At 40.9% G+C, this 15,117-nt stretch overlaps 1 protein-coding gene across 1 annotated transcript in view, besides 1 other annotated feature; it reads right to left on the bottom strand.

Annotated features, from left to right (window-relative positions):
- The window catches only part of SAMD5 (sterile alpha motif domain containing 5), a 445,991-nt gene that overhangs the window by 46,783 nt on the left and 384,091 nt on the right, over positions 1-15,117 (bottom strand). The gene's annotated exons all lie outside the window — the stretch shown is intronic.
- Positions 2,734-3,234: an enhancer, noted in NCBI's record as "H3K4me1 hESC enhancer chr6:148225800-148226300 (GRCh37/hg19 assembly coordinates)". NCBI's record gives its function as "activates a minimal SCP1, AML or CMV promoter by ChIP-STARR-seq in primed H9 embryonic stem cells {active_cell/tissue: H9 hESC(primed)}" and the evidence as "EXISTENCE:reporter gene assay evidence [ECO:0000049][PMID:30033119]".

The following is a 15,117-nucleotide window of genomic DNA, read 5'->3' as shown; positions in this document are numbered from 1 at the left end:
AAACTCTATAAAATGAATGCACCTGAGCATGTGAGATTTCATACAGGTAAAAAAATATCATTACAGAGAATAATAGCACAACTGAAAAATGAACTGTGCACATGGATGATAAGGTTTCCTGTGCTGCTGTCTTGGGAATATCTGCATTTTTATGGAAACAAAGGCCTTAGTCAAAGGAAAAACTCTCTAAGAGGGCAATCCAAGATATCACAGGGAGAGGAAAAGATTCCTCCCACCCCTGTGGGGTCCTGGCTGATGTCCTCACTGTGTCTCAGACCAGTGGTCACCTGCTGTTTGTAGGGTCTGTTTTCTCCACATTATTTGCTCCAAAAGATGAGTTAAACTTCCATATCACCTACCAAGCACAGTGCCCACGTGAACACAGAGATATTCCCAAGGTAGATATTAGGTTGGTGCAAAAGTTATTGCATCTTTGCCATTAAAATAAGTAATGGCAAAACTGCAATTGCTTTTGTACCAACCTAATAATATGGGGGACACTTTTCTTTCTTATCCTGTAACGTATGTGCAGATTTGATGTCCATTGCCCAGCATAGAAAAAGCAGGAAGGGAGGAGAGAATATTTACTGAGCTCTTGCTGTGTGATTTTGTCACAATAGCCTTATGCCTCCCAAAGTGCTGGGATTACAGGCGTGAGCCACCGCATGAGCCAATGTACCCTGCCAGACCCGGGATCTTAAGTGGGAAACCACCTCAATTGCAAGAGTGAAGACTACTTTAGAGTACTGGGTTCTTCCAGACTGAAAGAGATTTGGGGACAAACTGAAGCTTCAGAGGAGGCCCTCTGCATTTATCCTCTGACTTTCTGTGAAGAAGGTGCCCAGTGTTGAGGCAAAAGGAAGATTAATCAGACTTCGGCAGACCTCAAGCATCAAAATGTTCTGTAAAAGCAGAGGGAGGCAGCTATTGCACTGGCTATTACAAGAAAATACCTTTGAAAAAACTATTTGTCAGGACAAAGCCACCTAAATCCTCAAGCTACAGCTCTCAGCCTAAAATAGTAAACTTAAAAATTATTTCAGCTAAAGTTAAAGTTACTCTCCTATGGAATGTCAAAAGAAATGTGTTATACAGACATTAGGAGAAAAACTTAAAACGCTACCTGCCTCGAGACTTTTCTGGAAGTGTGCATTGCATGTTGTTTGATCTATTCTTAAGGTAGTTTATGATTTTATGTAAGTATGTAGACTTCTCCCACCTCACTGAGCACTGATTCCTGATATTCTACCAAAAATGACTTACGAATTATCCTACCCATGCCTCTTCCAGCAGCTGTCCCTGCTGACTAAGCATCAACAGGGAAAGGGCATTCTTCAAGAATAAATCACTGCTCCAGGCACTTGTCAATGGCCGTCACCAGATGGATTCTTTTCAGGCTTGGCCCTCTTCTTCCTTGAGTAATTTTAAGGGTGTTCTGTTGGCCAGAGACAGGATCTGTAGAATCTGGGGTGTAAAAGCCAGAAGGAAGGCATGACAGAGGCCATTGAGTCCAACCTTCTACTTTTACCCGTGAAGAATGTAAGCCCAGTGGCAGAGAAGAAAGTTGGTATATCTTCAAAATGCAAGGTAAAAATTCATCGTAGTCTAATTTTCTGTCTGAGGCTGAGCTCCAGGCCCTGCCAATGTCACCAAAAGGCAGAAAAGAAGAAAAAGGCAATCAAAATAGAGAAAAAAGTATCAGCAAAAATTCAAGTAAAAATATCTATGGTGAAAAATCTTCAGAAATTATTTTTCCTTTTTTCTTCATTAAAAGCGTTCTCAAATCTGAAACAATTTGGCATTGGGATGCTGTGTGACTATTTTCATAAGAAATACTTGAGGACACAATTTATAATTTATAAACTGTCCAGGGCCACTAATTCAAAAAGCATTTTCTGAGATCTCGCTGTGGACCAGGTGCTGAGACAACAGGAAACAAGGCCCCATGCAGCCCTCAAATTGCTCAGCGTCTAGTGGGTTTCAGAGCCTGGAGCTTTGCAACATATCAAAACAACTACATATCCCTTTGGCCCAATAAAAGGCAAGCCTCAGAGGATAGGCGTCTTTGGCATTTGGTTGAGCATACTGGAAATTTATAAGAAAATTATCTTGGGGGCCCACACATTTTTAGAATTCATCTAAAAGTTGGTATTTACCCTTCTCTGAAATCAATTAATTTTCTGGAACTCCCTGGTGTATTTTATTCATGTGAAAATTAGATCTGTGGTTTTAAGTAGACCTAAGTTTTCATGTTCAATTTCACGATTTTATATATGATCAGTAAGTCATGAGTTACATACCAACACATTGACAGTGATTATATCTAGGTGGTGAGATTAGAGGTGATTTTGTTTTTTTGTTTTTGCCTATCCATATTTTCTAAAATTTCTAAACATTTGGAATAAAAAACAGGCATAGGCCGGGTGCAGCAGCTCATGCCTGTAATCCTAGCACTTTGGGAGGCCAAAGTAGGCAGGTCTCCTGAACTCAGGAGCTCGAGCCCAGCCTGACCAACATGGCAAATCCTGTTTCTACTATAAATACAAAAAATAGCCGGGCATGGTGGCACACGCCTGTAATCCCAGCTGCTCCGGAGGCTGAGGCAGGACAATCACTTGAACCTGGAGGGAGGCGGAGGCTAAGCAGAGATTGTGCCACTGCACTCCAGCCTGGGTGACAGAGTGAGACTCTGTCTCAAAAGAAAAAAAAAGGCCGGGCGCAGTGGCTCACGCCTGTAATCCCAGCACTTTGGGAGGCCGAGGCGGGTGGATCACCTGAGGTCGGGAGTTCGAGACCAGCCTGACCAATGTGGAGAAACCCCGTCTCGACTAAAAATAAAAAATTAGCTGGGCGTGGTGGCGCATGCCTGTAATCCTAGCTACTCACGAGGCTGAGGCAGGAGAATTGCTTGAATCCAGGAGGCAGAGGTTGCAGTGAGCCGAGATCGCACCATCGCACTCCAGCCTGGGGAACAAGAGCAAAACTCCGCCTCAAAAAAAAAAAAAAGGCATAAAGTCTATTTTAAAACCATTATGTTAGTTTTGAGTTATGTTCTAATGAAGAATATCACATATGAGTAATATAAAAAATTAGACAAAGCAGTAGAATTTCTTCCAAATTCAGAGTATGTGACGGGGAAAAGGGATCTCTGTGGTAAAGCTGGCAACCGCAAGCGGGAAAAGCAGTCAAGAGTCCCAGGCTCCTTAGCTTAGCTTGCAGGGGCTGCAATTTGAGAAATGGAAGATCAGCCCAGGCAATCAGGTGTGAGGTGAGTCACTGACTTTTGTGACAAAGGAATCTGGCTTGGGAAAGAGAAATCATGAGTATAAGTGTATGAGGGCAGGGCAAATGACTGTAACAAACAGACCCACACTGTAATGGTTCAAACACAATAGAATGTTTTTCTTTCTCACATAATCCAAGCTGGGTGACTAGACTGACAGAGGCTGTGTTCCATGAAGTTCGTCAGAGACCCAGGCTAGGCACTGGCTCTGCCATCTTCAACATGTGGCTTCCTCCTGTAGCTCTAGTCTAGCCATAGGACTAGAGCTAGAGTCCATGGGAAGAGGATACTGGAGCACATTTGGAAGCTTTTTGGGGCCAGGCTTGTAAGTTATACCTATCATTTTCATGCACACGCCAATGGGGAAAACTAGTCCCCTGGCTACGTAGGAGGCTGTTAAATGCAGCTGGGCAGTCATAGATCTAGCTGCTATTAAAGAAGAGAGGAACCAATGTTAGTGAATAGCTGGCAGTTAGTGCCACAGAAGGATGAACCACAGGAATGAGACAGCTAGTAGAGATTGGTTAAGAGGCTTCTCCTGGAAGCAGACTGATTAAACACAATGTGGAGAATGTACAGCAACATTTTGTACAGTCTGCTTCATAGACAAAGAAATCTGGGGACTCCATACTCTAGGACCACCTTGGAAATTCACAATGCCTGTTAGAATATTAAGTGATCTTAGAAGATTTTTTTTTTTTTTTTCCAAGATGGAGTCTCACTCTGTCGCCCAGGCTGGAGTGCAGTGGCATGATCTCGGCTCACTGCAACCTCCACCTCCTGGGTTCAAGCAATTCTCCTGCCTCAGCCTCTCAAGTAGCTGGGACTACAGGCATGCGCCACCAAGCCCGGCTAATTTTTATATTTTTAGTAGAGACGGGGTTTCACCATGTTGGCCAGGCTCCTCTCAAACTCCTGACCTTGTGATCCACCCACCTCTGCCTCCTAAAGTGCTGGGATTATAGCCGTGAGCCACCGCACCCGGCTGATGTTGGAAGTTTCATAAAAAATAAATCTAATGTTTACAGAAATATCTGCTTAAGCTTCCTAGCATTATCCACACATATTTGACAGTGAATCAGCTTCCATTTGTGGTCAGTCCACCATCTTGAAATGACTGCTGTTAGACGATGCCATTGGCCATGCATCACTTCTGAATCTGCACTGAACAGGTGCACATTTAGCAAAAACATGCATTTCCTTAGTCCTAGTGTTACAATCAGAAGATGTTCAGGGTGTTAGAAATGGACTCAGATGAGTTTTTATTTTGTTCTATCTTTACCATAAGGAATAACCTTGAGGTAATCAATCAGATCAATGTTTTATGTCTTCTTTCCCCATCCATATAATGAGGGCCAGGATATTGACCTAACTTGTAACGCATTTTACAAAATCAACATAAAGTTTTATATTAATGTGATTAATTAAATTAGCAATGAAATGACTAATAAGTAATTAGCCATGGAACAGTGGCTCCACTATAATTGTATGTGTGAGGATTTGCTACCTCTCTTGAAGGCCTGACCTCATAGAGGAAATAATTAACACTCCTCCTTACCTTTTGATATTATAGATGGCCAAGATTGTGGCTTCAAAAGATCTTTTCTGGCAAATGAATTTTTGGAAGGTGTATAAAAACTGATGCCTTACAATGTAGCCAAAAATATTTATTAAACACTTATTTTAAACTAGGTTTTATAGGAAATCCAAAAAGGAATTTTGCACTGTTTCTGACTTCAGAATATACAGGTGTGCACATAATTATGATAAAAATCAGAATGTGATAAGAGGGCTGCAGGAAATTGCTTTTTAGGATAAACTGGGAGAGGAACAGAAAAAGTTTTAAGAAGATGATAGTATTTAAGCCACTCTTTGAAGAATGATTAGAAACTCAGCGGACAAGGTCAGGATGGTGAGTAAGAAACACAGGATCACAGGATATTTCTCACAATTAGAATCAATTAGAATTAAGAGAATAATTAAATCTTTTATTAGCATTAATCGCAGAAGTAACTAGGAGGACACAGCTCTTTAGAATGGCTTTCTCAAAGTGTGTGCAGATGATTTGTTTTGGTGACAGGTTCATGTAGATTCTGAGAAAAAGTAAGGCTCCCATGGTCAAAAAATTAGTTGGAGAAATACTAGGTTAAATAAGGTTAATTCTATTTCATTACCATGTGTTCCTGGGAGCACAAGGATATGCAAATGAGCTCTATGAATCCCTAAGAAGATGCGGAACAAAGAATTTTTCAAAACTAAATCAAGGTCCAAACTTTCTCGGTGTAGTTTCATTCACATTATGCCTTAGGAACAGTTAAAACCCTAACTGGATTTTATAATGCGGCTTTGATACATAGCATTTTTGAATGCAACAAATGTGATAAATGTCAAATGAACACAGTTTTAACAAGGGTTTAGAGCCATCTCTGAGAGATGTGTGGGGCCATTTGGACCAGGAATGATTGCTTTTTTTTCCCCCTTGATTGCCATACTATTCAAGGCTTAAATTAGAAAGCCACAATTACAAAAGCAATGTAATATCAGAAAATATTCAGGCCCTATGTCATAAGAGGAGACTATTGATTTCTGAACTAGAAACAATACCTAAGCCAAGGAAGAATGAGGACAGGTGGCCATTTTGGAAATAAAGAATATCATTAAGTATCATGTTAGGGCTGAGGGGCTGAGAATCTTCAATAATTCAGAAGTTCATTTACCTGGTGGAAACTAAGGAAGTGGAACAGGGATATTGGTAGGGGATTCCTAATGGAGTGTAAGGAAATCAACACAAAGACATGGGTATGAAGGGTTGCTTAATAATATTCTACCTATAAAAAGTATAACATGAAGTCTTAGCACTGCCTCCTAGTGCTGCCTATGGAATGAATGCTAAATAAGTGATTATACCTATCGAAGCTTCCAATATTGTGGTCAAGTTTCTGTTTCTTTTCCACTCTTTCAGATACAGATGCCTATCCTCATACTTTAGTTCCAGAAAACTGGCAGATTTCTGGCTACCCTGAGTATAATAGAAATGGCCACATCCAAATGTGAAAATGATGTACAAAGAAGTTATTTAATCCAGCATGGAAAAAAACTACTTTACAAAGGGCACATAGTCTTTTAACATATTACAATAAATGAATACAGAATGAACTTTAGGAAAGGAGAAGATTAGTTCTTATGTAACCATACCAAATTGTCATTTTGCAGTCTTCAAGAATGACACCTGATGAACTCTCTTATTTGTAAAAATTTACTTTCCACTTACATAATTGAGATAAATATGCTTTAAATAACTGTTTCAATTAACTATCCTACTGTATAAACACATAGATATGTATGGATGTATAAACCATAAATTAGCTAACATTTACCAAGTAGGTACTGTGGGCTAGGCATTATTCCCAATTCTTTAGGTATCTTAACCTATTTAATCCTTATAATATCTCTATAATACTGGTACTATCATTAGCCCATTTTAGAGATGAAAAAATTGAGGCACAGAGATGTTAACTGACTCGCTCAGAGTGATACAGCTAGTAGTTGATGAAGCTGTGACGTGAACCCTGACCATCACACTCTTAAGCTTTTAATGCTATTTCTTCTATGTGCATATGAATATGCTTATTTAGAAAAACAAGGTTCTGAGCCCTTAGACCCTACCTAAGTATTCAAATAAATTTTTTTGTGATTCTAAAAAAATCCCTATCTTTTTGTTTTATAATAGAAAAAACGAGATAAGGCAAAACATTCATAATAACTACCGAAAGGACAGGCTAAAAGTTTATGCTTTTGAAAATCATAATAAAAACATGACAGGTGGCATTACATCTAATCTGGGGAGTCATCTGGCCTTCTCCTTCCTTAACTCTTCCAGCAATAGGATGGCCTGCTGTGTTTGAATAGGCGAGCTGCTTACATTCAAAGCGACACAGATAACTGGCACAATTAGTGACAGTGAAAAAACAGAGAGGGTTTCTGTTTTCCCCTAACTATCTAGGTAACTCTCCTGTGATTCTTCATTCCTCCTCGGCAGGTGAGCTGCCGACCAAGCACACATTAGCCTCCTGTCTCCTATCTCACTTGCATCAGCATCACGGGCTGGGGCAATCCTGTTCATTACGGGGCTGGTCTTACTACCGCAGCACTGCTCATTATACGAATGACCTGTGTGCACACTTTTGCGTCTCCAGCAAAATGATGAAAGACAAAATAGGAGAACTGGCTCGTTTCCCAGTGAGCTCTTGCAAATTCCTTGCATGTTTCAGAGTGTATCATGGCTGATAAACCTTTATCAACTCAATATCAAGGAAATGATCATCATCTCTGCTTCATGTGAGCCATTTTGGTGTATGGAAGCGACGTGTCACAGCTTTCCCCCTCCTTTGACCGATCCTCCATGGGTCCTGACAAGTTGGGAACAATACTTGCTCTACAGCTGTTACAATCATTCCCTAGTACAGAACTGTGCTGGTTCAAAACCAACAGGACATCCAGGGGCTGTAGATTAGGACTTAGTCTTCAAGACTTCATGGAGACTGGGTCTATCCTAAAAGAAATAAAGTCCAATGAAACTACCAGATAGATTCACATTTGCTTTTAGCATCACCAATTTACCTTCTTGCTTCCCTTCTTCCTTCTTTCTCTGGGACTCCTTCACTTGCCTGCCTCCCTGGAGCTGGACAGTCTCTCCCTCAACTCATCCAAAACTTCTACCAGGGAAGGGGCCCAGCTAAAAAAATTTTACAACTTGGTGTGAATAATTTAACTCTACCTAGAGTGTGAGCTCTTCTAACTAATTGTGGAATACAAGCCTTTGGTCTGTGTAAATTAATTTCAACTATCAGGGAGGAAATATTAGGGAGAGGCTTTTGTAAGGGAGAGCTTTCCCAGAAACCCTGAAATTAGTCCACACACAAAGGTCACAACTCAAATGCCTACAGATGCCATTCCGGTAATGTGAATGAATAGAACAGGCTGGAGTAAGACAAGAGGGAGCGGCAGGGTCTACTACCTGCTGGAGAGCTCATGCCTTCTCGAAGGATGCTACCACTGTAATTATGCAAGAATACTAGCCTAGCTCTGCTAGTCTATTTTTTCCATAGAAGTAGACAAATATGTCCTTTTCTGTGATTTCTTCTCATTTTTAAATTTTGGCAATCAATTGAAAATCTAAAAACATTCTGTAGGCCTTATAAACACACACTGTGGGCCTGAGCTGTTTCCAGGACATGCAGTTTGAGACCTTGACAATTATCTTCTCTCCAGCTGGTCCTTAGCCCCAAGCCTCACAACTCCTATGTATTTAGGTTAGGTGTAGTGATAGTGCCAAATTGGATCTGGTTCCCAAGGCTGGTCATTAATATCTTGCATGAGGAAAATACTTTACAGTTTTCAATGCACTGTTGACACGTTATCTTTTTTTTTTTTTTTTTTTTTTTGAGACAGAGTCTCGCTCTGTCACCCAGGCTGGAGTGCAGTGGCGCGATCTTGGCTCACTGCAACCACCACCTCCCAGATTCACGCCATTCTCCTCCCAAGTAGCTGGGACTACAGGTGCCTGCCACCACGCCTGGCTAATTTTTTTGTATTTTTAGTAGAGACGGGGTTTCACCATGTTAGCCAGGATGGTCTCGATGTCCTGACCTCGTGATCTGCCCGCCTCGGCCTCCCAAAGTGCTGGGATTACAGGGGTGAGCCACCACGCCCGGCCAACACATGTTATCTTATTTGATTTTCACAATCATCAATCAGCACGCTCTTATTATTGGCTGTAGGGTGAAATATTATTATCTGCTTGATCATGACTATATATGTGTGTATATATATAAGCACATGTATGTATACATATGAATACATAAGTTACATATGATAATACTATATGATTATATGCTATAATGTGATACAGCAAGGCTCTCCCCAAATTCTTAAAGGTAAACTACAGAAATTATATGCAATGAATAAGACCAGATTATTCAAAAAGAGATCTTGGAGATAATATTTCCTGAGTCAGAAATTTAAAAAGCAAACCATTAGCTATATTCTAACAGGATAAAGAACTGAACATAACAGGATACTGATCTTTTGGTAGTGAGGTTGCTGGTGAATCTAGTAAAGATGCTTGTGCAGGGAGGAAGTGCCCATCCAGGCACTTCAGGGAAAACCAGTTCTGACCTAAGCACACAACCTGGCTTGTTCTGTCCTAGAGGGAGATAAATAAGTGACTATCATAAATTGAACCCACTGGCTTACTGGAGCCCAGAATCTGCTTTTGTGATTCACTGGTAGCTCACTGAGTAACCTTCTGATCATAATTTGGCATTTGATTTAGATTTTTTTTTAAAGGGAGTAGATGCATTGGCTGGGAGAAATGAGTACTGAGTCTTCTTGGCAGTCATATATCACGCTGTAAATTTATAAATCGGTAAGCTAGCATATAAGCCCAAGTCCTGTGGGTATGCTTAGCATTGGCCACTGAAGGAAGGGTCAGCTTCAAAGTCATAGAAATTAAGATTTGGAGCCTGACAAGACAAATACCAGGCCCTCAGCTGTGATCCACTTGCCATGGTCAATGTCATCTTCTGAAGGATCCTGACAGCCTGCAGCTGGCATCCTACATTCTCCTCACCTGGCTACTTTTTTTTTTTTTTTTTTTTTTTTTTTTTTTTAAGAAAAATCTCACTCTGTTGCCCAGGCTGGAGTGCAGTGGCCCGATCTCTACTCACTGCAACCTCTGCCTCCCGGCTTCAAGTGATTCTCCTGCCTCAGCCTCCCGAGTAGCTGTGATTATAGGTGTGTGACACCAGGCCTGGCTATTTCTTGTATTTTTAGTAGAGACAGGGTTGCACCATGTTGGCCAGGCTGGTCTCAAACCCCCGACCTCAAGTGATCCACCCGCCTTGGCTTCCCAAAGTGCTGGGATTACAGGTGTGAGCCCCTGCGCCTGGTCTGGCTACGTTTTTATAATCCAAATTCCCATTTGCTAGAGAAGAATTGAAGGTCCCCAGGAATGAGGTGATTTGCCCCAAGCCTCACAACTAGTAAGCACATAGTTGCTGGGTCATGACCTTGATTGCTCCTATGAGGCCGCTTCTCTTTCCACCACACCATGATTTCCAGTCTTGCCCTGCTGTTACGGCTAGAAATGACCTTCATGCTCCAGTCATTTTCCACAAATGTCTAAGTGCAGGAGCTGACCTGGCCCCCCTCCTCCAAGACTGCTCTCCTTTGGGCAGTCCAGAATAGTCCAGACGTAAGGCTGGTGATGCAGTTCAAGAAGGATCGCCTGCTGTCACCCAGGATGCATTTCAACACACGCACAGTACAATCTAGCGGGTTATCTTTTCCCCCCTCTAGTTTGTGTCTAAACCTGCAAATGAAGCTTGTGGTTAAGCATGTAAAGCTGGGGCTATAAGATTTTTTAAACAGCTTTATTGTGCCATAATTCACATATCGTAAACTTCACCCATTTAAAATACACATTTCAGTCATTTTTAGTATATTTAGAATATAATCTAATCATCATACTTTCATTTTAGAACATTTTCTTTTAACCTCAAAAAGAAACCTCATTCCCATTAGCAGTCACTTCCCCCGATCCCACCTCCAGACAACCATGGATGTACTTTTTGCCTCTACAGATTTGCTTCTTCTGGATATTTCATATAAATGGAATCATGCAATACATGGTCTTTTGTGACTGGCCTCGATTGCTGAGTACAATTATTTTGAGGTTCGTCCATGCTCTGCAGGGGTCAATACTTCAATATTGGTGCTATGAAGACTTGGAGAATAATGATTATGGCCAAATCCCCAAACTGCACACTTTCACACTTTGCTGGTGATGCGTTTTTTTTTTTTTTTTTTTTTTTTTGGTTAATGTTCTTTTCTAATATTCAGTGAATTTTTTTAAAAAAACTCCCACAGTATAATATTTCCACTTGAAGAATTTTTACTACCATCATTTTAGTTTAAATAATATTGTTACTTTAAAAATTACAATCTGTTGCTCTTTCTGTTACTGGGTTAATTTTTGCACATCCCGTCTCCACATCCACCTTTCCTCCCTGCTGGCCAGATCATGTGGCAAACCATCCTGCAGAGACTCCGGCTCCCTAACTGGACCATGTACCTCCTCTCCTTCCAGAGCTCTGAGATCAGCCTATTTAGCACCAAGGAAGCTTCCTTCAAGTCCACAGGCAGAATGAATTGTCCTGTCTCCGAGCTCCCCCAACCCCAGCCCCAGCCCCAGCTCAGAGTCCAGTCCTTATCTCAGGGATTTCTAGTTGTTATTCTGAACGTCTCTGCAGTGATGCTGAGCTCCATGAGGGCAGGAATCAGACCTTGGCCGTCTTATCCCTGACACACCACACCCACCACACAATGTGTTCAACAGATGTGTTACAGATCAAATTGAATTAAAAGACAAGGACACTAATGTGACCATTCTGGAGAATGCAGAAAGTAACAGGAAAATAGCAAAGTTCCCCAAAGTCCTCAGGTGCACTATCAGGACTACCAGGAGAATAATTTAATCACACAGAGGTTCCATAAAACCTGAATAAAATGTTTGAAGATAAAATAAGTTTGTGGAAGCTATGCCACGTGCAACACACTCCCTCTTGCCTTCACTAATCAAATATTAGTGCTTAAGACCCCCAGCTGTCTCTTCCAATTTCCCTGACTTTGGAGTCCTATGTTCCAAAAATTGTCTTTGAAGACAACATTTCCGGGTCCAGTTTCTTGGGAATAGCATGGTTTATTTGGTACAGTGTCTCTGTCTACAGGGGAAGGCTTTACCCACAACAAAATCCGATTGCTGTAGGGATCTTATAGGCCACTTGATTTTCTAATGTGGCCGAGGTCAAACCAGTCAGCCTCTTTCTTCAATCTTCTATCCCTGTGTTGAAGTGCCATGTGCTTTTATTAGGATTTGGAGGTATATGATTGGCAGCAAAGTCAAGGCAGTGTAACGGAATCAAGCCTTTCATTACTCTCATTTGCTCGGCTTTCAAGGATCTGAACAATGGCAGGAATAGGAAGGGAACAGTGGATGCCACCTGCGATGCTCTATCTTGGGCTCACCTCCTCGCCTTGGACAGTCTCCCTCACTCTGAATTCCCCTGGCAAATGTGTCATCATCTGATGCTGCTTCCATTTTCATTCTCATATTTCACTCTAGGAGCCTGATACATGGCTAGACCTGACAAGAATAAATTTATAAGGATGCAAGCTACAGAAAGCCTTGAATATATTCCAGTTAAAGGTCTATGGAGGCAACAAAGAAATCATCTCTAACTCATTTTTGGAGCACTGTAACAAGGGCATTTTCCAGGGGAAAAAAAAATCATGTTTTATTGTTGCACTTGTAATGTTCATGGGTCTTAAGGACTTTGTCACCTCTAAATGACAATACATTAAAGATAGCATTTCAGCATTTGCAAGAAAAGGCAGGGCCAGTGCTTAGAGCTGGCCTGGGCTCCTCCTAAGCTGCACTTTTCATCAAATAAAATCGATGCCTATATATCTTGATGTTAGAGTTAGGCTATTGGTTTTTAACTAATCAAGCTTTGTAGCAATTCTTTCCTGCAGAATAATTTTTATTAATGAGAGGTGAGATGAGAAAATTCCACTTTGCCTTGAGCAAATCTGATATGCTAATACTTCCTATTACCGAAATGCTAATGAATCAAAATTTAATCCTCAAATAGACAGAAAGGAGCACAGAGTTTAGAATCATGACTTAGATGTGAATTTCTTTTCTGCCACTTGCTGGAGAGGTAGTTTCCAAAAAATGAGCCTCAGTTACTTCATTGGTAAAATGGGCTTTTCTTGAGTATCAAGTGAGATCGTGTATGTGTCTTGAATATAGTAAAACACACCAAAAATATAAATTCTATGCAAATAGAAAAACTGTCTTCATGAGTGCATATGAATATTCATGTCCTCAGAGATAAATGGGGTCTGTTTCTGCTGTGTTTAATATGGGATTTCCTAAAGAATTGCTTAAGAGGGGTTATAAATACTGCTTAGCAACATGTTTCCCCCCAGTAGGTCTCACGGATGCACTGCTGGCATCATTGAACAGCAGCATCAGGACAAGTCTCAGAACTGTATCATTAGGAACTGGGCAGATTGGGAACTTATTTTTCTGGGTGACCTACAGAGTCAGTATCAAAAATGTGGCATTAGGCTGGATGTGGTGGCTCACAACTGTAATCCCAGCACTTTGGGAGGCCGATGCAGGCGGATCACAAGGTCAGGAGATGGAAACCATCCTGGCTAACATGGTAAAACCCCGTCTCTACTAAAAATATAAAAATTAGCTGGGTGTGGTGGCGTGCGCCTGTAGTCCCAGCTACTCGGGAGGCTGAGGCAGGAGAATCACTTGAACCTGGGGGATGGAGGTTGCAGTAAGCGGAGATTGTGCCACTGCACTCCAGCCTGGTGACAGAACGAGACTCCATCTCAAAAAAAAAAAAAAAATACAAAACAAAGAAACAAACAAAAAAAAAACCAGTGGCATTAGACACATGGAAAAGAGCATAGAAATCCCCTCAAAGATGATGAATTAAATAAAGTACACCTGTGTCATGGAATACCATGCAGCCTTTGAAATGATGCTTTGGAAGAATCTTGCATGACATGGAGAAATAGTCATGATACATATTATGAAAAATGAGTAGGCTATTAAACAAAAATGTATATATTCATTTTTATCTAAACCTGTCTATGCAAACTTACATCTAGAGAAAAGACCAGAAAGAAATACACCAAAATTACCTCCACCTGAGTACAAAAATGGGTAAGTTCTGCTTAAGAACTGTTCATCTTTTAAAGAGAAATTTTAGATGACTATAAAATTAATATGAACAGCAATTTTACCTTGGATGCTAAAAAAAGAAATGCACTCATAAGCTGCTGAATAGACAAAGTATCAGTACAGAACAGGTCAAGCAATAGTGTCAATAGATCCTGTGCTGCTTAGAACTAACCTGGTGGAAGCTACCACATTTTGAGGAAAAGGTTGAAAAAAAATGGAGTTTATTCAGCGAAGGAAGATCAACAGCCATCCTCTTGCTAAGTGTTTTCCTCCTAGCGGGCCATTTACTCCTTACCACAATCCTGTACATTATATTCTTAAGTTTTACTATGGTTTTTAAATTTCTATATAATAATAACCAAGAGGTGGTGGAATGCAGAGTGCTTAAGACCATGAGCTCGGGAGTCAGATTCTGGCTTCAAATTCTGGGTCCATAACTTACTAAATGACTTTGGGCAACTGATGTAACTCCTCTAATCCTCCATTTCCTCATAGGTAAAATGGGGATAATAATAACCAAGAGTATAAGAGTGTCAAATACTAATCAGAGTCCCTGACACATACTGAGTACTTTTTTTTTTTTTTTCTAGACAGAGTTTCGCTCTCATTGCCCAGGCTGGAGTGCAATAGCGTGATCTTGGCTCACTGCAACCTCTGCCTCCCAGGTTCAAGCGATTCTCCTGTCTCAGCTGGGACTACAGGCATGTGTTACCATGCCCGCCTAAGTTTTTGTATTTTTAGTAGAGACAGGGTTTCACCACGTTGGTCAGGCTGGTCTTGAACTCCGGACTTCAGGCAATCTACCCACCTCAGCCTTCAAAAGTGCTGAGATTACAGGCATGAGCCACCACACCTGGCCCATACTGAATACTTTTAAAATGTTAGTTTTTATTATTCAAAAAGTGCCAGTAATTGAAGAGACCTACAGTTACAATTATTTTTTTTAAATGAAGAGATGAGTATTACAGTTGTGGCAATAGATTCTGGGCAGAATCTAAATCTAATCTGA

Source organism: Homo sapiens, chromosome 6 (genome assembly GCF_000001405.40).
Source record: "Homo sapiens chromosome 6, GRCh38.p14 Primary Assembly".
Classification (NCBI taxonomy): Eukaryota; Metazoa; Chordata; class Mammalia; order Primates; family Hominidae; genus Homo; species Homo sapiens.
The sequence above is the reverse complement of the archived record's forward strand: the minus strand, read 5'-3'. Positions and strand labels throughout refer to the sequence as shown.